Source organism: Homo sapiens, chromosome 6 (genome assembly GCF_000001405.40).
Source record: "Homo sapiens chromosome 6, GRCh38.p14 Primary Assembly".
Taxonomy (NCBI): domain Eukaryota; kingdom Metazoa; phylum Chordata; class Mammalia; order Primates; family Hominidae; genus Homo; species Homo sapiens.
In genome coordinates, this window is record NC_000006.12 from 25037967 (window position 1) to 25062061 (window position 24095).

A 24095-nucleotide genomic window follows, 5' to 3' on the forward strand; every position below is an offset into this window, starting at 1 on the left:
TTATTTTTTAGAGACGCTCTTACTAAAATGTCATAATGTCTGATTTATTTTTAAATGTTTCAACAGGAAATTAGATGAAGCAAATATGGCAAAATGTTAATAATTGTTAAATTTAGGTGATAGATATATAAGATTCATTATACTATTTTCTCAACTTTACTGAATGTTTGAAAATTCTCATAATAAAAAGTAAAACAAAAACAAACAAATGAGCAAACAAAAAACCTAAAGCTTTCCAGTAGCTCAAAATCGAAGTTCTATTGCAAAGATGACAATTAGGTTTTGTAGTAAGCAGAATTTGAAGATGGCCCCACGATTCTTGCCCCTTGGCATACAGGTTCTGTATAGTTCTTGAACCTTGGGTATAAATATGATGAGATTTTACTTCTGTGATTAGATTATGTTATATGGCAAAAATGAGGGATTTTTCAAATGTAATTAAAGTCCTTGATCAGTCAATTTTTAACTAATCAAAAGAGAGATTATCCTGGGTGGGCCTGACCTAATCAGGTGAGCCCTTTAAAGAAGAGTCTATAAGCAGCAAAAGACCCTTGTTGGCCTTGAGGAAGCAAACTACCATGTTATGGAGAGGGTCATGTGGCAGAGAACAATGGGTGGCCTTTAGTTGCTGAAGGCCTCAGGCCTACAACTGCAAGGAACTAAATTCTGCCCACAACCATTGAGCTTGGAAGGAGACCCTGAGCCTTAGATGAGATTGCAGCCCCAGAGAACACCTTCATTGCAGCCTTGGGAGACCCTGAGCAGAGAATCCAGCTAATTCATGCCCATGGAAGCTGTGAGATAAAAAATGTATGTTGTTTTAAGGCAATAAACTTGTGGTAATTTGTTACAAAGCACTAGAAAACAAACATAAATTTCAACCAGTGAGGCAATTCTAATTGATTAGACATGGCAGCTTAAGGCACTATATTAGAAAGGATTCCAAGCCAGGGCCTGGCCCCCGTGGGGAAAAAGGAGAGAGCTGTGGTTGATTACCAATGTCTGCATGGGCATGGAAATGGACAGTGGTGGCACATGTCCCTCCTATCGCCATTCAAGGTCCCTCTGTGTATTTAAAGAAAAGGGGTTTACTAATTTATTTTTCTTAATGACAAAATAACCCCAAAGGATTATATAACTTGAGTCCCCAAGTTGGAGGAAACGCTGACCTATGAGAAAAGCTTCAGAGAAAGAAGACAGGAAACGTTATCAAAGCAGATTTTAGCAGCTGCAAAATATTGTTGAGGGCCACCCTTGCAGGCTGACATTTGCAGTGATAAGCGTCCTTCCCTCGCAGGTGTCTTCACTCTTTCTCCCTTTCCACTTTCTCTGATTCGCTGCCTGCAAACATGCACAGGTCTTTTGTGAGTTGGAAAATGCAACCCTCCAAAAATGTCACTTGATCCTGTTCCTGTTTCTAACTCACACTGACTCTCATGCAGCAGGGCTCTTGACCATCCTGGAAGAATATCAGAATTCCCTCCTTAGGCATTATGCCAAAGAGGTCAGGACCAGCCTGCTTAATGTTGAGCTTACATTCAACATCTATTAATATATCATTTCATATTAAAACCATGCAGAAATCAGCACAGTATTCAGATGTTAGTCTCAAAATTTAAGTGAAATTTCTGTAGTAAAGCAGGCTTTTCTGATAACTCTTATTTTAAGAGTATAGGCCGACTTCCCATCCATACTAGTGAAACCATGCAGATCCATAATCCAGCTTTTCTCAGTGACGGATTCCATAACGGAGGTATTGGATTAAAACTTAGGATCACAACTAATTTCCTACAGATATAGAATGAAGTTTCATAAAAACTGGAATTTAAATTTAAGGTACGCGCAAGTAAAAGAAACATGATCAAGAAGGTAAAGGCCCAGAGAAAACTGATGGCTTCTTCAATTATATCAAAGAAAAAGAAGTATTTTGCTTGATGCAAATTGTTTGCTTGTCTTTGAATTGTCATTTGGAATCCAACCAGCTCAGCTTGCCTCCGAAACTAGTAGACTGTGACTATTTTGGATACATGTTCCTAAGCCACTCATTCATCTTAATTTAATTGTCTATACCAGGGGCTTTTAACACATAAGGAAGAGTTGCCAACATATAACTAGGCATCTAGGCATAAAGAACACTGTGTGATAGACTTCTACTTTTTTTTTTTTTTTAGATGGAGTTTCGCTCATCGCCCAGGCTGGAGTACAATGGCACAATCTCCGCTCACTGCAATCTCCGCCTCTTGGGTTCAAGCGATTCTCCAGTCTCAGCCTCTTGAGTAGTTGGGATTACAGGTGCCCACCACCACGCCTGGCTAATTTTTGTATTTTTAGTAGAGATGGGGTTTTACCATGTTGGCCAGGCTGCTCTTCAACTCCTCACCTCAGGTGATCTGCCCAACTCGGCCTCCCAAAGTGTTGGAATTACAGGCGTGAGCCACCGCGCCCGGCCTGTGTGATGGACTTCTAATGAGAACAACACCTAGCACATAAACCAGGGCTTGGCTACTGGTGGTCCACAGTTGTCACACGTTGCCTCAGAACATTGGTATTACATATTTAAAATTCAAAGAATAAACTGCCAACATTTAAACTTGAGAGCTTTCACATAGAAATTAGTGTTTCTTGCTTTTTTTTTTTTTTTTCGAGACAGAGTTTCGCTGTTGTTGCCCAGGCTAGAGTGCAATGGCACGATCTCAGCTCACCGCAACCTCCACCTCCTGGGTTCAAGTGATTCTCATGCCTCAGCCTCCTGAGTAGCTGGGATTACAGGCGTCCACCACCACGCCCGGCTAATTTTTGTATTTTTAGTAGAGACAGGGTTTCACCATGTTGGCCAGGGTGGTCTCGATCTCTTGACGTCATGATCCTCCCGCCTTGGCCTCCCAAAGTGCTGGGATTACAGGCATGAGCTACCGCATCTGCCTGCTTTTTTTGAAAAATTGGAAAATCCACCAACCTCTACCCCATTCCTCATGGAAACAATCTGATGGCATTGAATGGTGGGTGCCCCACTATGATGGGACACATATTTCCCCATTTGCTGCACCCTCTACCACTGCCTATTGCTACCTCATATTGAGGCCAAATGTCAGTTGTCATTTATCATCATGCTTTCACTATCATTTTTCTCACAACAGAGACAGGAAGAAAGTGAACTATTCCTTACCCCTGTGAAAACAGACCCCTTTCACTCATTCTTCTTAGCAGCCCAGCCCTCCACCCATTTGAATTTGCTGACATCTGAGATAAATAAACATCTCTAAAAACAGACACACACAAATTTGTTACTTGTTCATGAGAAATGGTCTTGGCATACATAGGAAATGCTTTTTCATTCTCAGATTACTCCAGCACTAAAAACTCCCTTTTGGTTAGAGTTCCTGTCTACTCAGTTGTGAGTTTGATAATTTAAGAAGCATACAATTGGGCCCTTTAAAGGAAATATGACTCACTGATCCTTGAATTTCACCTCATCTAGCGACACTGCTGATAACCTGTTTGATTCAGATGTTCCATTTTTTTCCCCACTGTAATAAACAAAAATTCCAATTCACATGACTCCTTGACCGATGTAAATATTTATTTGTATTTTCCATCTGGTTGGAGAAATAAAGAAAAGAGGCCCTGTGGCCCTGTCTTGCTCACCACTTGAAACAAAATGTATCTAGTTACCTCTAATTAGGATAGGGCTGGGAAGGAAATAGGAAGAGAGAGAGTCGGTAAAAAAATACCAAAGTCCATTGGAAAACGGAGCACAGGAAAGTGGAAGAGAGGAGGAAGGGGGAAAGATTGGAGAAGATTTGCAGAGGGCAAGAAATGAGTGTGTTGCGGGAAAGTGTGGAAAACAAAGGCAGAGAGTAGGTAACACCAGACGGGACACTCACGGTTGAGCTGGCGCCTCCGGATCCTGTCCCTCCATGGCCTGTTTCTGATCCAGTGTAATCGCGAAGGTAACACCATGGTCCCAACAGAGCGGCCTAAAACCTGCTCATGGCAAAGGAACAAAAGGGTCTTGCAGCTATCCTGGAAGTTAAGTCCAGACGTATAAAAATGAAAAAGAAAACTTAACCCCCCCCTTTTTGTTCTTTTCTTAAAAAAAAAAAAAAGAGTATTTGAGGCTTCCGTTGACTTCTTTTATCTTGTAACTTGCCTTGCCTTTCCTTCCCTTAACTTCCGACTGGCCCGAAGGCAGCTGCTGTGCTGGGCTGCCCTAGCCTCCTGTGCCATGTTTTATGCATGAAGATGATGGGGCGGTAATTTATTCAAGCAGAGACGATCACCGGGCTCCTGTGTCTGCCCTCGCGTCAGAGGAGCCGTGCAATGGCAGGGGGAGGGCAGGTGTGTCTGACTGCACGCAGGAATGGGCTGAAATGGGAATCCCTCTCTGTAGGCAGAAATGAAGAGCAGAGCTTTGCTGCTAGAGCTGAATCAGAGCAACACCCCTTACCTTTTAGGGCGTATGATTTATTTACTGCTGGGTCTCCGGTATCTAATATAGTGCCTGGCACTTGGTAGGTGAGCAATAAATATTTGTTGACTGAAAGAATGATTCGGTGATAACCAACATAAGTGATTTCATACTTTCTTTTTCACCAGTTAATCTGCCCAGTGCACTGTCTTCAAATATGTCTATTTGAATTTTCTCACCCATTCTTTTTCTCCACCTACGATCACACTTGCCCCTCACCTACTAGTTCATACTTCAAAGCCTCATTTTACATGAGGCTTTCCTGAAGCCATAGACATGGGGCTGTCCTCCACGCACCTATTGCTCTCACCTGCAGGTGGCCCATGTCTGCACTGCCCAAATTTGTTAGGCGTTTTGTTTGTTCTCTGATTTCTTTTAAAGCACGCATCCAGGCTGGATGAAGTAGCTCACACCTGTAATCTCAGCGCTTTGGGAGGCTGAGGTGGGAGGATCACTTGAGGCCAGGGCAACACAGCAGGACCCTATCTCTACAAAAAATTTTAAAATTAGTTGGTCTTGGTGGTGTGTGCCTATAGTCCCAGCTACTCCAGAGGCTGAGGCAGGAGGATTGCCTGAGGGAAGAGTTCAAGGTTGCAGTGAGCTATGATTGCACTTTTGCTCTCCAGCCTGGGCAACAGAGAAAGACTGTATGAAGAAAAAAGAGAAAAGAAAAAAAAATTGCCCACATTCAAATACTGAGTAAGCTTCTTGGTGGCGAGAACTGTATATTCCTCTTTCTGAGCTGCAACATACAGGGGTTTACATGGGGAAGTGGTACATCAAGGGGTGGTTTGGGGCAGTTTTAGTCAGCCCCCTAAATCTCCATCAGCTCCTCCTCAAAATTCCCCAAGTAAAAATACACTCTAACTAAATACATTATGTTGGCTATAATACCACACTTAGGTGCTACAGCCTCTTCCAAATATGTGGCTGAAGACTCTCTTACATAGACATTCTAAAGCTGCCCCTGGCAGGGGAAGCTCAGTACATTGATTGCTTACTTTGTTCCAAGCTTTTCCTCTGTGCAATGTCAGATTGCTCCAGAGAACAAACAGTTATTGATCAAGGCCTCAGGAGTAGTCTTGCCCTGAGGATGGAACTGAAAAAAGTGACACCCAAGTTACCAAATTTAGCCCAAGATAACCCATAAACTTGCTGATGGCAGAAACTCTGTCATTTATCTTTTGTGTCTCTCATGGTGCCAGAAGCAGAGGGACTGGGGGAAACTACCAAGAGATGGGAGTCAAAAGGCTTGTAATTGCAACTGACCAGGTGAGTGCTTTAGGCACATCTCTTGGTCTCGGTGTCTTGTTTTCTTCACTTAGAATGGGAATGACCTACAGATTTCAGAGTTGTCAAGAGGAAATGAGATCAAGTAACTCTTTAGAAGTTGGTAGGATACTGGACTGGCACCCAAGAGCTCAGGCTCCCCTTCTGTCACTATGTCTGGTGGTAAAGAGAGTGCATTCCAGAGCAGAAATGCCTGGGTGCAAACTCGTAGCACCCTATTTAGTATCTTCATGACATTAACATCCTTATGCCTCAGTCTCTTAATCTATAAAATGTGAGGATAAGAATGAGGGCCGCTGCCTTAGGGTTATGCTGATGACTTCATGAGTAAATACATGCTAAGGACTAAGACTTGTGTTTAGCATAGAGGAATTTCTCAATGTTGTCAGCAGCTATTATTAACTAGCCATGTGACTTCATGAAAGTTGGCAAATTCCCTGGGCCTCTGTTTCCTTATCTGCAATATGAGGGGGTCTGGGATACTTTATATCACAAGTTCTGTGTATTAGTTTCCTACTGCTGCTATAACAAATTACCACAAATTTAAAGGCTTAAAACAACACAGATCTATCATCTTTCAGTTCTGGAGGTCAAAGTCTGAAATGGGTCTTATAGGGTGAAAGTCGAGGTATAGGCAGAGCTGCATTCCTTCTGGAGGCTCCGGTGGAGGATCTGTTCCTTGCCTTTTCCAGCTTGTAAAGGCCCTTTGTATTCTATAAATCTATTTGCAGAGTGTCTTTGTTTACCTGAGGGACCACCACTCTGAGTCATTACATTAACTGGCAATTGCAGGTCATGTGGGACATTCCTGGTCTAGACAATTTCTTGTGGATCCTGATCCCTCATGTGCCAGCTCCCCAAGACTCATTTTCTGAATTAGGGGGGAAAGGTAGAGACCAAAATTAAGACAAAATCTACGTAAGGTAGCCAGTGAGGTTTTCTTGACTATTGCCACTGAACACAATTCCCTAGAATGGCAAATGCAGCATAAGAAAACTATATTTGGTAAACTGGACCAAGCAGAAGAAAGAATTTCAGAGCTTAAAGACTGGTCTTTTGAACTAACACAGTCAGACAAAAATTAAGAAAAAAGAATTTTAAAAAAGGAACAAAGTCTTCAAAAAATATGCGATTATGTAAAGCAACCAAACTTATGAATTATTGGCATTCCTGGGAGAGAAGGAGAAAAAATAAACAACCTGGAAAATATATTTGGTGGAATAATTCAAGAAAATTTCCCTAATCTTGCCAGAGAGATAGACATCCAGATACAAAAAAATCCAGCGAACACCTGTGAGATACTATACAAAATGAACATCACTAAGGAATACAGTCACCAGGCTGGGTCAATGCTAAAGAAAAAAATCTCAAAGATAGTTAGAGAAAAAGGGCAAATTACATACTAAAGGAACCCCATCAGGCTAACAATAGATTTCTTAGAAGAAACCTTATAAACCAAGAGAGATTGGGGGCCTGTGTTCAGTAGTCTGAAAGAAAAGAAATTCCAACCAAGAATTTCATATCTCATCAAACTAAGCTTCATAAGAAAAGGGAAATATAATCTTTTCCAGACAAGCAAGTGCTAAGGGAATTTTTTTTCCCACTAGAACAGCTTACAAGAAATCCTTAAGGGACTTCTAAACATGGAAACAAAAGAGCAATACCTGCTACCACAAAAACAGAGTTAAGTACGTAACCAACAGACTCGATAAAGCAATTGCACAATAGAAGCTACAAAGCAACCAGGTATCAACTTCACAGTAGGGTCAAAACCTCACATATCAATATTAACCTTGAATGTAAATGGCCTAAACACCCCACTTAAAAGGCACAGAGCGGCAAATTAGATACAAAAAAAAAAAAAACCCTATCTGTCTGCTGTCTTCAAGGGACCCATTTCACACATCGTGACACCCCTATGGGTGCAAAGTAAAGGGTTGGAGAAAGATCTACACAAATGGAAAACTATAAAAAGCAGCAATCACTCTTCTTATATCAGATAAAACAAATTTTAAACCAACAACAATAAAAAAGACAAAGAAGGGCACTACACAATGATAAAGAATTCAATACAACAAGAAGACTTAACTATACTAAATATATACACACCCAACATTGGAGCACCTAGATTCATAAAAATGTACTTCTAGACCTATGAAAAGACTCATACAACCACACAATAATAGTCGGGGACTTCAATAACACACTGACAGCATTAGATAGATCATTGAGGCAAAAAGCTAATAAAGAAATTCTGGATTTAAACTTGATACTTGAGCAATTGGCCCTAATAGACATCTACAGAATCCTCCACTGATCAATGACAGAATACACATTCTTCTCATCTGCACACAGAACATATTTCAAAATCGACCATATGCTTGGCCATAAAGCAAGTCTCAATAAATTTTTTAAAAATCAAAATTATACCATACTCTCAGATCACAGTGGAATAAAAATATAAATCAATACCAAAAAGATCTCTCAAAACCACATAATTACATGGAAATTATACAACTTGCTCCTGAATGACTTTTGGGCAAACAACAAAATCAAGGAAGAAATTAAAAAAAATTTGAAATAAAACAGATACAACATACCAAAATCTTTGGGGTGCAGCAAAAGCAATGTTAAGAGGAAAGCTTATAGCACTAGATGCCTAACTCAGAAAGTTAGAAAGATCTCAAATTAACAATCTAATATCACACCTAAAGGAACTAGAGAAACAAGTTCCAAACTAATTCCAAAGCTAGTAGAAGAAAAGGAAGAACTAAAATCAGACAAGAACTGAATGAAATTGAGACCCAAAAATCCATTCAAAGAATCAGTGAAAGCAAAAGTTGGATTTTTGAAAGGATAAACAAGATTGATAGACCACTAGCTAGACTGACAAAGAAAAAAAAGAGAGAAGATCCAAATAAGCACAATCAGAAACAACAAAGGTGACATTACAACTAATTCCACAGAAATACAAAAGATCCTCAGAAACTATTATGACTACATCTATGCACACAAACTAGAAAATCCAGAAGAAATGGAAAAATTCCTAGAGGCACACAATCTCTTAAGATTGAATCAGGAAGAAATTGAAACACTAAACAGACCAATATCAACTTCTGAAATTGAATCTGTATTAAAAAATACTATCAACCAAGAAAACTCCAGACTAGATGGATTCACAGCTGAATTCTACCAGAAGTACAAAGAAGATCTGGTACCTATTCTACTGAAACTATTCCAAAAAACTGGGGAGAAGGGACTCCTCCCTAGCTGTATTTGTCAGTTCTCATAATGCTAATAAAGACATACCCGAGACTGGGTAATGTGTAAAGAAAAAGAGATGTAACAGGCTCACAGTTCCACATGGCTAGGGATGCCTCACAATCACGGTGGAAAGCAAAGGAGAAGCAAAGGCACATTTTACATGATGGGAGGCAAGAGGGGTTGTGCAGGGGAACTCCCATTTATAAAACCATCAGATCTCATGAGACTTATTCACTACCATGAGAACAGTATGGGAGAAACTGTCCCCTGATTCAATTATCTCCACCTGGCTTCATCCTTGACAAATGAGGACACAGCCAAACCATATCACCAGCTCATTCTATGAAGTCAGCATCAACTTGGTACAAAAACCTGGCCAAGACACAATGAAGAAAGAACACTATTGGCCAATATCCTTAATGAACATAGATGCAAAAATCCTTAATAAAATACTAGCAAACTGCCTGGGCACAGCGGCTAATACCTATAATCCCAGAACTCTGGGAGGCCAAGGCAGGTGGATTGCATGAGCTCATGAGTTCAAGACTAGCCTGGGCAACATGGCGAAACCCCATCTCCACAAAAAAACACAAAAACAAAAATTAGCCAGGCATAGTGGCATATGCCTGTAGTCCCAGCTAGTCAGGAGGCTGAGGTGGGAGGATCACTTGAGCCCAGGAGCTCGAGGCTGTAGTGAGCCATGATTGCATTAGTACACTCCAGCCTGGGCAACAGAGTGAAACCCTGTCTTTAAAAAAAAAAAAAAAAAAAAAACACCTAGCAAACCAAATTCAACAGCACATCTGAAAGAGTTAATTCACCATGATCAAGCAGGCTTCATTCCTGGGATGCAAGGTCAACGTATGCAAATCTATATATAACACCACATAAACAGAATTAAAAACAAAAACCATTTGATCATCTCAATAGACATGGAAAAAGCTTTTGATAAAATACAACATCCCTTCATGATTTTAAAAAACCCTCACGAAACTAGGCACTGGAACATACCTTAGGAAAATACCTTAAAATAATAAGAGCCATCTATGGCAAACTCACAGACAACATCATACTGAACAGGCAAAACCTGGAATCATTCCCCTTGAGAACTAGAATAAGACAAGGATGCCCACTCTCATCACTCCTATTCAGCATAGTACTGGAAGGGCTAACCACAGCAATCAGGCAAGAGGAAAAAAAGGCAACTAAATAGGAAAAGAGGTCAAGCCATATCTCTTTGCTGGTGATGTGATTCTATAGTTAGAAAACCCTAAGGACTCTGCCAAAAGGCTATTAGAACAGATAAATCATTTTAGCAAGGTTTAAGGATACCAAATCAATATACAAAAATTGGTAGCATTTCTATACACCAATAACGTTCAAGCTGAGAGCCAAATCAAGAATGCAATCCCATTTACAATAGTTACACACACAAAAATAAAATGCCTAGGAATACATGTAACCAAGGAGGTGAAAGAGCTCTACAGGGAGAACTACAAAACACTGCCAAAAGGAATCACAGATGACACAAACAAATGGAAAACATTCCATGTCCATGGATTGGAAGAATCAGTATCATTAAAATGGCTATATTGCCCAAAGCAATCTGCAGATACAACACAATTCCTATCAAACTACTCACGTCATTTTTTACAGAATTGGAGAAAAACTATGCTAAAATTCATATGGAACCAAAAAAGAGCCTAGATAGCCAAAGCAATCCTAAGCAAGAAGAAAAAAGCCAGAGGCATCACATTATCTGACTTCAAACTATACTATAAGGCCGCAGTAAACAAAATAGCTTGGTACTGGTACAAAAACAGACACATAGACCAATGGAACAGAATAGAGAACCCAGAAATAAAGCTGCATAACTACAGCCATCTAATCTTCAACAAAGTCAACAATAATAAGCAATGGAGAAAATTCAATACATCGCATGGGGATAGCTGGCTAGCCGTATGCAGAATAATGAACTTGGACCCCTCCATTTCACCGTATACAAAAATTAAGATGGATTAAAGATTTAAATGAAAAACCTCAAACTATAAGAATCCTAGAAGAAAACCTAGGAAGCTCATTCTGGATATCGACTTTGGAAAAGAATTTATGACTAAGTCCTCAAAAGCAAGCACAACAAAAAAAATGACAAGTGGGACCTAATTAAATTTAAGAGCTTCTGCACACACAGCAGAAGAACCTATCAACAGAGTAAACAGACAACCTACAAAATAGGAGAAAATATTTGCAACTATGTATCCAACAAAGGTCTAATATCCAGAATCTATAAGGAACTTAAACAATTGAACATGCAAATAATAATAATAACCCATTAAAAATTAACCCCTTTAAAATGGGCAAAAGACATGAACAGACACTTCTCGAAAGAAGGCATACAAGTGGCCAAAAAACATTAAAAAATGCTCCACATCATTAATTATTAGAGAAATGCAAATACAAGCCACAATGAGAAATCATCTCACACCAGTCAGCATGGCTCTTATTAAAAAGTCAAAAAACAACAGATGTTGGTGAGGCTGCAGAGAAAAGGGAACACTTATACACAGTTGGTGGAAATGTAAATTAGTTCAGCTACTGTAGAAAGCAGTTTGGAGATTTCTCAAAAACTTAACACAGAGCTGCCATTCCACCCGGCAATCCCATTACTCTGCATATGCTGAAAAGAAAACAACTTGTTCCACCCAAAAGACACATACACTCACATGTTCATCACAGCACTATTCACAATGGCAAAGATATATGGAGCCACCTAGATGCCTATCAATTGTGGATTGAATAAAGAAAATGTGGTACATATACACCACGAAATACTACATAGACATCAAAAAGTGAAATCATATCCTTTGCAGCAACATGGATGCCACTGGAGGCCATTATCCTAAGCAAATTAATGCAGGAACAGAAATCCAAAGACTGTGTGTTCTCACTTATAAGTGGGAGCTAAACAATGGGTACTTACAGACATAATGATGGGAACAATAGACACTGCGGACTACTAGAGCAGGGAGGGAGGGATGAGGGCAAGGTTTGAAAAACCAACCGTTGTTACTACACTCAGTACCTGGGTGGCAGGATCATCATACCCCAAACATCAGCATCACACAATATACCTAGGTAACAATCCTGCACACGTACCCCCTGAATCTAAAATAAAAGTTGGAAAAGAAAAGAAAACTATATTTGGGAGACCTAGAAATGGATATTGTTCTAACAGTCTCCTCTCTTCTTGGTTTTTACAATTGTTAATTGCAACACTTTTCTGTTCTATACGGCATTTAACATAAATCAAATCAGATAGCTGCCAAGGAGGCAAATTCGAGATGAGAGAAATCTTCCAGAAGCTGTCACGGTACTGTGACTATGTTCCCTCTATCACCTTCTTTTATTATATGGCGCTTGAAATTCTGTGCAAGCAATGAACTTGAATGTGGAGAATGTGATACAAAAAAATCAAGTGCTTTTTTTTTTTTTTTTTGCAATCAGCGTCAGACCTTCTTTCCTCCTCATTAAGCCACACATTTCCTAAAGCCTCTGCTGCATGAGTCACCAACGTTTCTGATGTACATAATTTACAATAGCAGATGAGAGAGAACAGCAGGCCAGAGGGGGCGGAAAGTACAGTTAGGTCTAAAATGAGAGGCAGTTGAAAAGTTTGCATTTTCTCTGCTCTTGTGAATTTAAATACAGATCTTGCCAGTTTCCTCATTATAATCATAGAAAGACTAGCGGGTGGGTGTATGGAACAAGAAGTGGAGGACTTGCCACCATCTTTTGTTGTTCTTTCCGGTCAGGTTGACAATGCTGAAGATCCATGGCTCCTACGTAGGGCTCCGTTTCCTGACTCTTCATGCTTTATATTTTCTTTTATCAGGTACACACTCATAAATGCCTGGAATAAATAGCCTTGCGGGGTGTTATTCTCCCAAGGAACAGTTTCATTTGTGTTAAGTGTACAATATCAATTTTTACTCTTTCTTGGGCTCGTGTTGCTATTAAATTTTCATAAATCGCAGAATTTCACGGTGGAAGCATGTACAGTCTGCAAGGAGCAATGTGTTTAAGAGAATATGGGGAAAAAGACATAATTATGTGATCCTTTCTTCATTTTTCCTTCAACTCATTTTTAATAAATGGAAGCTAGATGTTAGACTCAGGAGAAAAAGCATCAGCATGTCTGTTTCTACTTTAAAACCATCCTGGGGAGAAACAGACCTTCAGTTACTCAGTGGAGAATGGCAACTGCTGAGCCAAAGTACGTTGTGTGACTTTTATAGAAAGTCAACAAGGAAAACTTGGCATTATTTTAACATAAAAGCTTATCAAGCACCAGGAGGAAAACGATAGCACAGCACCTGATTTATTTCTCTTCTGTGGCAAATACATACAAAAAGAACATGAGGTCTCAGTTTGCTCTTTGGAAATTGAAATGGAAGTAGGGGTCAGGTTCTAGCTGTGGCTATCTGGTTGTCTACACACATTTATTGAGCACTTATGGAGAGATAGGCTGTGTGTTGCATGCTTTTAATAGACATGTGGTTTCACTTTATTTCCCCTACATTCTTATTCATGAGGAGTTATTAGCAATCCTATTTTACATATAAAAAAGTGAAGGTTAAACAATACTCTAAATAATAATCCAACACATAGAGTACTTCACATGTGTTAATTCATATGATTGTCATATAATAATCCCGTGACCATTTTGCAGATAGGGCAACTGAGGCACAGAGAAGTTTAGTAACTTGCCATGGTCACACGCCCAGCAAGTGGCTGAGATGAGATTTGAATTGAGGTAGTCTGGCTCTAGAGCCCAAATATTTAACCACAACCTATACTAACTCTTCAAATTAAGCAAATAAACATTGCAGTGTAACCATTCATTCATAACATTCTATTTTTAAAACATATACCATGTAACTTTGACAAAGGCAATTATTGAATAATAAAGAATTAGAAAATTGGACAACTATTAGAGAATTACCCTAGACAACCTCATATCCAAATGTCTCATTTTACAGAAAATGAAACTGACCCTCAGATTAGGAGACACCTCCAAGTTGGCACAGCAGGTTGGTAGATCAGGACCAAGTTGTACCACACCTTCTCCCCAAACCTCAATACAATGTGCTTTCCACTGCTGCTCCGATAAGATTTCAAGGCATTTTTAAGGCTTAGAACACTTTTGGGAGACAGTTTTTGTGGAATCAAGGCAGACAATTTTGGAGTATGAAAGAAAAAGCTATGAGGCTAGAAGAGAGGACAGTGTCTGCATCTTATCTGTTCTCTTCTAGTCAGACACAGCCCATTACTGCCCTCTCTCCTTCCTTCTCTTTCTCCCTCCCAAACTGGCTTCACCAGCATTTCCTGTCTTGATGACCTTCTACCCAGTTGCTCAAGACAGTGCCCTAGGTGCTACTCCTTGCTTCCTAGCCCTTATGTCCCACATTCAAACCAACAACTGACCCACCTGATTCTGCCTCCTACTTGTTGATGAAAAGAATCAAACTCTGTAAAATATTCGAAGATATGTGTTCTGAGCCAAATATGAATGATCATGTCCTATGACACAGCCCTCAGGAGATCCTGAGAACATGTGCCCCAGGTGGTCAAGGCACAGCTTGGTTTTATACATTTTAGGGAGACATGAGACATCAATCTAATACATTGAAGCTATACAATGGTTCAGTCCAGAAAGGCAGGACAACTCAAAGTTGGGGTGGAGCTTCCAGGTTACAGGTAGATTTAAAATTTTTGTGGTTGACAATTGAGTTTATCTAAAGACCTGGGATCAATAGAAAAGAAATGTCTGGGTTATGATGAAAAGTTGTGGAGACCATAATTTTATCATACAGATGAAGCCTCTGGGTAGCAGAGAATAGATTGTAAATGTTTCTTATCAGCTTTAAGGTCTGTGTTGATGTTAATGCTGGTCAGCTTTTCCTGAATTCCAAAAGGGAGGAGAGTTTAATGAGGCAGGTCTGACACCCCCTTCCCATCATGGCCTGAACTAGTTTTTCAGGTTAACTTTGGAATGCCCTTGGCTAAGAGGAGGGTTCTGTTCAGATGGTTAGGGGGCTTAGAATTTTATTTTTGATTTACAACACCCAGGAGTCTAGTTTGAGTGGCTCATCACCTAGGCATAAAAGAAAGTTCCTATGCATTGAGTTTAAGCTTCAGAAGATAGAAATCTAGACACTGCCTGGAGAAACAGATACAGAAATAACTATGATATTTCCCTGACCCCTTAATGGGCGGAAACTGGAGTGCAGGGGTGCTGGAACTAGCCAGCCACTTCAGCACCAGCAGGGGTGAATTCCACTCACTCATGGGATGGGGAGCACACAGGTGAGCAGGTGCAGGAGGTGGGGCAAGTGCTTTTAGGCACTAGCAGGAGCAAAACTCTGTGCAGGTCCCGAGGCAGCATCTGGCGCCTGCGACCTCTGAAGGCCCAGAAGGAGTGTTACAGTGCCCTTTTAGCTTTGCCATCTGCAGACAGCTTAAGTGTTAATAGCTCAGTGGAGCATCAGCACGATAGCCTTTTGCAACCACACTCATGGCACCCAAGTTCTTGTCCGGCATCCAGGAGGAACGAGGTTGCACAAACAAGTTGAAGATGGTAAATGCAGGGGACTTTATTGCCAATGAACGTGGCTCTCAGCAGGAAGGGGAGCCAAAGAGGGGATGGAGCAGGAAGGTAATCTTCCCCTGAAGTCTGGCTATCCCCAGTCAGACTCCTCTCTGAAGCTATGCCATCAAGCTGTCCCTCTGAAGTCAAGCTGCTTCTCTCCAACTTCCAACCATAGTCCTCGTTGTCCAGCTGCTTCTCCTTTCTCTGCTGGCCAAGCCTGGGGTTTTTATGGGCACAGAATGAGGGGCAGGGTGGGTTATGGGTGGTTTTGGAAAGGGCAACATTTGAGCAGGAAAGCAGGGATGTAAGTTCTCACTTTGGGCTGCAGTATCAAGAGTTTCAGCTTGAGAGTGGGGACCTACCCAGGGAACTGCCCTCTTCTGCGCAGAATTTCCCTGCTTCCTGTTCCTATCAACAGTAACTAGGTGTCAACTTACTAATTTAGCCACCCAGTGGCTGTCCCAAGAGCCCTCTAAATCTGCAATCACTGGAAGGCCTCACTGAAAAGTCTTCCTTTCTTCTGTGATTAAGGGCCTGATATTTTAACTTTTAGAATAACTTATTATGCAAATAGTGACCAATTGACATCAGTGGAGCAGAGTTGCCTTTATGAGTCAGAGTAGAGACAAGAGAGAGGTCTGTTTTCTCTCTTGATTAAATCAGCCCCAACGGAACAGCCCTGATTTAAACAGAAAAACATTTTTAAAGTAGTGATCTGTTTAACTTTTGTGGTGAGCTCCCTCTGGAGAAATATCTAGATGTAGAGGAGAAATATTTCCTTATTATACTTAGTTTTAAAAAGTCACTTTTTCTTTGACCTTAATGCCATGAGATTTGGATCCTTTTCAGTCTCGGCAGAAGAGAAGTGGGTTAAAGACTCCACCACCCGAAGGCAGCTTCTCTTCTTTTTACCTATAAGTAAACCATGAAATCAGAATCTCCCAGAACTTCAGAGCCAATGAGACCTCAGACATCACTGCCCCATACCTTCGTTTCATGGTAGAGGGAACAGAGCCTCAGGAGGAGAAATGTCTTGTCAACAGCCACAAAGCTAGTTAGTTCCTAAGGCATTATTAATAGTTCTGACTCATAGCTCAGGGCTCTTTCCATATTCACAAACCATTGCAAACCAGACTTCCCAGTTATAAAATATATGTGTTTTTCACCAATGTTTTAAACATTGTATTTTATGTGTGAGCAACCAGCATAACAAAGACCATCTTTTAAAACTTGTGCTATGAAACCAGAGATTCTCAAAAGTTTCATGCAGCTTGTTCCCAAAGGGACATCTGATTAGAGTAACATCTATTCTTATACATTTTTAGGATGGAGGAGGAAGCAATTGAAGGGAGATAAAGAAAGGAACAATAAGGGGTCTTTTCTCCTTGACATCTCTGCCAAGGCACCTTGACTCATGAGAGTGTCCAGCCTACTTGAGGAAAATTGTCCAAGAAGTCTAAAGGTTTCTTCCTTATGAGGTTAATTCAATTCACTTTTTAAAAATGTAGTAGGCACTGGGCATACAAAGATGAATGATACCCTTTATCCTGGGAGCTTAAAATCCAATGGAGAATGTAGAAGATACACAATACAGGTGGCCCTCCATATCTGTGACTTCTGCATACTAGGATTCAACCAACCTCAGTTAAAAATATTTGAAAAGGCTGGGCGTGGTGGCTCACGCCTGTAATCCCAGCACTTTGGGAGGCCGAGGTGGGCGGATAATGAGGTCAGGAAATCGAGACCATCCTGGCTAATACGGTGAAACCCCATCTCTACTAAAAATACAAAAAATTAGCTGAGCGCGGTGGCGGGCGCCTGTAGTCCCAGCTACTCGGGAGGCTGAGGCAGGAGAAAGGCATGAACCCGGGAGGCGGAGCTTGCAGTGAGCCGAGATCGCACCACTGCAGTCCGGCTGGGCGGAAGAGTGAGACTCCGTCTCAAAAAAAAAAAAAAAAAAAAAGGTTTGAAAAAATAAAAAATAATAAAACCACAATAAAAATAATACAAATTGAAAAGCAATACAGTATAAGGACACAGCATTTATATGTATTAGGTATTATTAGCAATCAAGAGATATTTAAAGTATATGGTAGGTTGTGCGCAGGTTACATGCAAATACTACACTAGTTTATATCAGGGATTGAGCATCTGAGGATTTTGGTGTCCTCAGGGGTCTAGAACTGATTCCCCACAGATACGGAGAGACAACTTGTCACTATACTACCAGATACAATGTGATTGGTGTCAGAGCAGCAGCAGTAAGTCATTTAGGCACCCAGAAGATGGAGAACCAATTCTGACAGGAGGAGGAAACTCAAGGCAGGTTTGGGGAGGAGGTGGCGTTTGAGCGATACTTTGAAAGATGGGGAATGAATCCAGGAGTGGAGAGGAGTGAAGAGAAGGGCATTCTTGGCCAAAGACACACAAGAGCAAAGGCTGTGAGGGAAGACGACATACCGTTATGAATGGGATGAAAGAAGGAGGGAAGGTTGGGAACAGAGGGTGCAGCCTGTTCCCAAAGGCAGGCCTGAGGGGAGGCCACTGCTGGAGGAAGCACAGCCTTTCTAGTTGCAGTAAAGAAAGAGAAGCTAGCCTTGGCATCGTGGGCCTCCTTCACCACTTGGGTGCCCTTCCTCTTCAGGAGACCACAGTTCTCAGGCTTCCTCCCTTCACCACAGCTGGCTTGAGCAGGAAGTATGGTAGATACTCATTCATACCACAGGGTGTTGCCATGGAAATGGATCAAAGTAAGGTGATATCCGAAGAGAACAGTAGCTGCCACTTAGAGCCTCAGAGAGGGGAGAAAGCCTTAATGGAGACTTCACACTCTAAGGTGTGGTCCAGAGTGTGCCTACGACCCAAGGCACCAAGACAAGACCTATCACCAGGAACTACCTCGCGAACTAAGCAAAATCTCAACAGAACAATGTACACCCACATCCGAAAGAAAATATGCTGGCGTGTAAAAAAGGAAGAAAAACTACCAAGAAAAATTAAACATTTCAGTTAACTGGCCAACGTATTTTAAAATGAAACAAACTTTTAAAAATACAAAAATATAAGCATTTATTGAGTGCTTACTATACACCAGACTTTGTGCTAAAGGTTTTTGAGGCATTATCTCCCACACACCTGGAAGTCCAAATCACAATCCAAAATGTGCTTAGTGAGAGTGGAATCTGAACCAAGTCTAGTTGTTGGATGCTGATGGTTCTTGTCATTGACTTAGGGTAACCAGTTTGTCCTGGTCTGCCCAAGACTTTCCTAGTCATTCCAGGAAACCCCTCAGTCCTAGGCAAACTGGGACAATTGATCACTCTACATCAAGTTATAATGGCCCAAAGTTTCCTTCTCCTCTTTTTAGGGCTTACTTGTGGAGAGGACTGCACATTTGTCTCACTGGGACATCTCTCCTGGATAGCATTGGATGAACATTGCCAAATTCCCATGTTTATATCTTACAGTGCTTTCCAATTTTCCCATGCTTCTTTTCTATATCTAATGCCATAGATTCATCTCAAGATGGTGAAGCAGAACTACAGACTGGCTTGCCCAATTCCATTCCCTCTTCTCGTGCGTCTTCCTGCCCTGTAGTAGGGGAAACTCATTCTCCACACTCACTTGCAGCTCAAGCTCCTCATGTGACTTAGGCACTGCTAAGCAGATGCAGTGATGTGAGTCTTGGAAGGAGCGAGTGAGAAAAGTCAGCTGTTGGCCTTGTGCAGGGAGAGGGGACCTTCTGACAAGCATAGTGGCAATAGCCAGCAGGGGCAGGGCAGCTACGGACCCAGAAGCTTCCTGATCATGGCAGAGGCCTGGTGCTTCCGGGGCCCTGCTGGCAACAGCTCCCTTAGTAGACCGGTTCTTTTGAGAGGTTCAGTCTAGATTGTGTACCTTCAACCCTCCCAATGATTTTTTGGAGCTATTAGTAGCCCTTTATACCTCTCCTTTTGCATACACTAGCCAGAGGATTCTGTAATTTACAACAAAAATCACAGCCTCACACAGATGGATCCTATACATAGGATGCCATCATCAACAGCCTAATAATGGCTTCCTGGAATGCTGCCTTGAAAGGAATTCTGAGACCTCATCCAGGCTTAGTGAGAAAGACTGCTCTGATGCGTTAGGACCTCTTTTATGGTCCCAGAGAGAGAAGAATTGCATTTGCATCAGACTTTTGCCATCTGTGGTTGAGACTATTGACAAAATCACTTATTTTTTCTTTTGTTTTACAACCATACTGTCATTTTAAGATGCTCTCTGCTAAGGTGTTGATAATTCTGGAAATCAGAAATTTTAGACATATTTCTTTAACCTTAATTTTAGAAATATAAACTACAATTGCCTTTGATATGAAGAACTGAATAATTGTTGATGTAAATTCTTGAAGAATGTAAATGCTCTGTTGAAAATTTATTGCTTAGTAAAAATAAAGATGATTAAAAGATATTTTACATTCTAGTGTTACATATTCACTATTACGTATCTACACATTACAGTATGTGTATATTATATTCAAAGAGTATTATAAGCAAAGTGACTAGGCAGAAGGAATGAAGATCTTACTCAAGTTTAAATCTATATATCCTATTTCCTATAATCATGATTACAACTTCCCTTTAATATTCAATAGTTTGAGAATGAAATTTTGCTTAGTCCTCTATAGAAATTGTAATATGTGTTTGTAAAAGGAAAGTATGTTTGTTCAATTGGCTGTAGAATATGAGTATTATAGGAAACTAAATCTTCTCACTTAAACTCCAGATGAGTTTGCGATCAGCCTTTTGGTATTTTCTACTCTACACATTGTTCACGTTTTCTTGTTAGAGAACACTTTGGCTGGACTTTCTTAAAGTTGTAAAAAGAAAATAAAGCCACCATGACATAATTTAAATACAACACAAAGCATGATTTCTTGAACAATTCTTAGAATCTGCGGTTCCTCATTGTACCACCCACACTAAAAAGGCTTGTCTCTCTTGAGAGAATTTTCTCTCTTGGAGGGATTTTGACTTTCACCTTCACAGGGCGAAAGGGTGAGGCTGTAGCAGAGATGCGATGGGCTGCTGGTGTCACAAGGCCCAGGCATTGCTTGTTCTGACCCTAGAGCCTAACCTGGGTGAAACCCTTGTGCATCAAACCTGGGGCGTGGGAGTGGAAAAGGAAACTCATGAAGTTGGAAAGAACTGAAAACAAATTTCCATTTCTTTCTCATTTCATCAGAAATGGTGTCCTCACTAAGGGTCTTTTAGTTGCAAGCAAGACAAATCCACTGCAACTATAAACGGATTTTTTTAGGTGGGGGGATGAAAAGGTAACAAAAGGTAAACAGATTAAGAAGAAAGAAATAATATTGCCTTTATTTGCACTTAATGTGATTGTCTATGTAGAAAATCCAAAAGAATTAACTAAGAAAACTCCTGGAACTAATAAGCAGTTACAGCAGGGACACAGGATACAAGATTATTACACAAAAGTCAATCACTTCCTTATATACCAGAAATGACCAAGTAGAAACTGACATTAAAAAAAAAAACATCAGCAGGGCACAATGGCTCACGCCTGTAATCCCAACACTTTGAGAGGCTGAAGCAGGAGGATCACTTGAGGCCAGGAGTTCAAGGCCAGCCTAGGCAACATAGTGAGACCCCGTCTCTACAAAAAATTTTAAAAAAAATAGCCAGGGCCGGGTGCGGTGGCTCATGCCTGTGATCCCAGCATTTTGGGAGGCCGAGGCAGGCGGATCATGAGGTCAGGAGATCAAGACCATCCTGGCTAACATGGTGAAACCCTGTCTCTACTAAAAATACAAAAAAATTAGCCGGGCATGGTGGTGGGTGCCTGTAGTCCCAGCCACTCGGGAGGCTGAGGCAGGAGAATGGCGTGAACCCGGGAGGCGGAGCTTGCAGTGAGCCGAGATCACGCCACTGCACTCCAGCCTGGGCAGCAGAGCAAGACTCCATTTCAAAAAAAAAAAAAAAAAAAAAAAGCCAGGCATGGTGGCATATGCCTGTAGTCTCGGATACTTGGGAAGCTGAGGTGGAAGGATTGCTTGAGCCCAGGAGTTCAAGGCTGCAGTGAGCTATGATCATGCTACTGCACTCCAGCCTGGGCAACAGAGTCAGACTCTGTCTCTAAAATCAAACAAACAAAAAACCAAAAAAACCCCACATTATCATTTACCCAAAAACAACAACAACAACAACAACAACAAAAATGAGTAGGCATATTACAACAAGGCAAACGTTTAGACAGCTATCTGCGGATGTCGATGGCCACTGGGAACCCAGGCAGCAATCTGTCAAACTTTGCCAGGCCTTCTCCTGCTCTCAGGAGCCATGAAGTCTAACCTGGGCTTCTGAGCACTCAGCTGTCTTCCTGGCTTTGTGGGCAGCACACAGCTCTGGAGTTAAACCAGAGGACTAACTCCTGAGCACACCCTTTAAAATTGTGTGACCTTAGATAATTTGCTAAACGACTTTAGGCCTGAGTGTCCTGGACCTTGGATAAGAATAACTATAGTTCATATCACATAGGATTGTGATGAGAATCAAATGAGCTCTTCTGTGTGAAAACAGGGCCTGCTGCATAGCCAGCACTGAATAATCATTAGCTACTGATCTGGTTATACACTCTTTTTGCTCTCTGGGGCTTCGTTTGCTCTGTTTCACTGGATGTCCAAGCCTGGCCACCTTACAATGGTGACCTTAGTTTCTAAGTCCACACCACCCCAGTCCAAGCCAATAGCCAGATGGAATGTGATTTTCTTGGTCTGCAAACCAAATTCTCAGGAGGAAGAATCTCCTTGGCTCAACTGTGGTCATGGAGGCAAATGAACTCAGCTGCGGAGGGTTGAATTGTGTGTGTGTGTGGAAAGGGGAGGGGTGTGGTGGCGAGGGGTAGCAGGTGGAGGCGATAGTTGTAGTCCTCAAAGAAAGAAAGGATATCTTTATGGGCTGGTTAATTATCCCAAAATAGGTAAGCCCAGCAATCCTGCATTTTGTAGTCTTCTGTGATATGTCTTTGATAAGCACTTGTGATGGTAAATTTTAAGCCTAACTTGACTGGACTCAGGGATGCCCAGATAGCTGGGAAAACATCATTTCTGGGTGTGTCTGTGAGGATGTTTTCAGAAGAGATTAGCATTTAAGTCAATAGACTGAGTAAAGAAGATCACCCTCACCAATGTTGCTGGACATCATCTAATCCATTAAGGGCCTGAATGAAACAAACAGGTAGAGGAAGGGTGAATTTACTCCCTCTGCTTGACTGGGGACATCAAACTTCAGCTCTGAGACATTGAAGCTCCAGGTTCTTGGGCCTTCAGGCTCAAACTGGACTACGTCACTGGCTTTCCTGTGCCTCTAACTTGCAGATGGCCAATAATGGGACTCTCTAATAGCATGAGCCAGTTCTTCATAATATATAACTATCTATCTATCTGTCATCTATCTACCTATCTATCTATCATCTATCTATCACCTATCTATCTATCATCTATCTATCCACCCATCCTATAGCTTCTGTTTCTCTAGAGAACCTTGATGGATACAGCCCTCTTGGTGTTCATCCTAGGCACTTTCCATCCTTCCAATGCCATAGCTGTGTGTTGCTCCCCACTCACCCCCTCTGTGCACTTTTACTGTGCCCTCTGCCCTCAGTCTCTCGAATCATTTTGCTCACAAGTGTGGAGAGCCAGAAGGACCTGGGGGTTTAGGTTTTTGTGTTCCCTTCCTCCAGGGCAGCCCTTCACCAGAGACTGCTAACTGCCAGTGCAGGCATCTGAAAGCCCAGCTCCCCTGCCTTGAGTGGGGACAACTCAGAGGCATAATTTGTCCTCCAGAGCTCCCCTGTGGGATCAGGCTGAGGCTGGCACTTTGCCTGGGGTGGCACTCCACTTGCGTTCTTCCCCCTCTCTATCTGGCTTTCCCTGGAAGTATTTTCTAAGTAAATCACTTACACCGGAATCCTGATCTCAGGGTCTGTTTCTAGAGCTCAATTGAAAACAATCCTACAGATCAAAACATGGGCCTGAACTCATGTGTGAGCCATTAATGAATGTAACTAATGTCCATGTGAAAAGGATTCTTTCATTCCTCTGAGATTTGGTTTTGTTTCTCATCCTTGCATTCTTTGGCGGGTCTCACCCACAGAGAGAGGCTTTTGGAGAGCCTGGATCTCTCGGCCTTCAGGAAATGATCTTCTTTCAAAGAAAACAAGGAGGACAGCCGCTCTCACTTAACAAACAAAAAAAGAGAGGTTAGTTTGGTATGAGACTTGATTTTCTTTGCTGCTTCCGCACCCACCACCAAGCACCCAATCCCACTTCCCCTTGTCAGCCAGAAGAGCCTTTTCTTTTTTGTATTGATATGTTTATTCCCAGACTTTATCTATTAATGTACACATAGAAATATAGAT

At 41.4% G+C, this 24095-nt stretch overlaps 1 protein-coding gene across 5 annotated transcripts in view, besides 5 other annotated features; it reads right to left on the bottom strand.

The window, feature by feature from the left end:
* RIPOR2 (RHO family interacting cell polarization regulator 2) overlaps nucleotides 1-4202 on the bottom strand; it is a 237885-nt gene extending 233683 nt beyond the window's left edge. For all 5 annotated transcript variants that reach the window (XM_006715275.3, XM_011515012.2, XM_047419590.1 and 2 more), the window contains exon 1: nucleotides 3885-4202. In XM_006715275.3, coding sequence (XP_006715338.1) covers nucleotides 3885-3960 — 76 coding nt within the window. In that variant the 5' untranslated portion in view covers nucleotides 3961-4202. The remainder of the gene's footprint in view (nucleotides 1-3884) is intronic.
* Nucleotides 16140-16309: an enhancer, noted in NCBI's record as "active region_24163". NCBI's record gives its function as "activates an Ori minimal core promoter by ATAC-STARR-seq in GM12878 lymphoblastoid cells {active_cell/tissue: GM12878}" and the evidence as "EXISTENCE:reporter gene assay evidence [ECO:0000049][PMID:35858748]".
* Nucleotides 18290-18419: an enhancer, noted in NCBI's record as "active region_24164". NCBI's record gives its function as "activates an Ori minimal core promoter by ATAC-STARR-seq in GM12878 lymphoblastoid cells {active_cell/tissue: GM12878}" and the evidence as "EXISTENCE:reporter gene assay evidence [ECO:0000049][PMID:35858748]".
* Nucleotides 18560-18619: an enhancer, noted in NCBI's record as "active region_24165". NCBI's record gives its function as "activates an Ori minimal core promoter by ATAC-STARR-seq in GM12878 lymphoblastoid cells {active_cell/tissue: GM12878}" and the evidence as "EXISTENCE:reporter gene assay evidence [ECO:0000049][PMID:35858748]".
* Nucleotides 21127-21440: a silencer, noted in NCBI's record as "fragment chr6:25059321-25059634 (GRCh37/hg19 assembly coordinates)". NCBI's record gives its function as "represses an EF-1alpha promoter that drives an FKBP-Casp9 reporter gene in an ReSE screen in K562 erythroleukemia cells {active_cell/tissue: K562}" and the evidence as "EXISTENCE:reporter gene assay evidence [ECO:0000049][PMID:32094911]".
* Nucleotides 23527-24095: an enhancer, noted in NCBI's record as "OCT4-NANOG-H3K27ac hESC enhancer chr6:25061721-25062289 (GRCh37/hg19 assembly coordinates)". NCBI's record gives its function as "activates a minimal SCP1, AML or CMV promoter by ChIP-STARR-seq in naive H9 embryonic stem cells {active_cell/tissue: H9 hESC(naive)}" and the evidence as "EXISTENCE:reporter gene assay evidence [ECO:0000049][PMID:30033119]".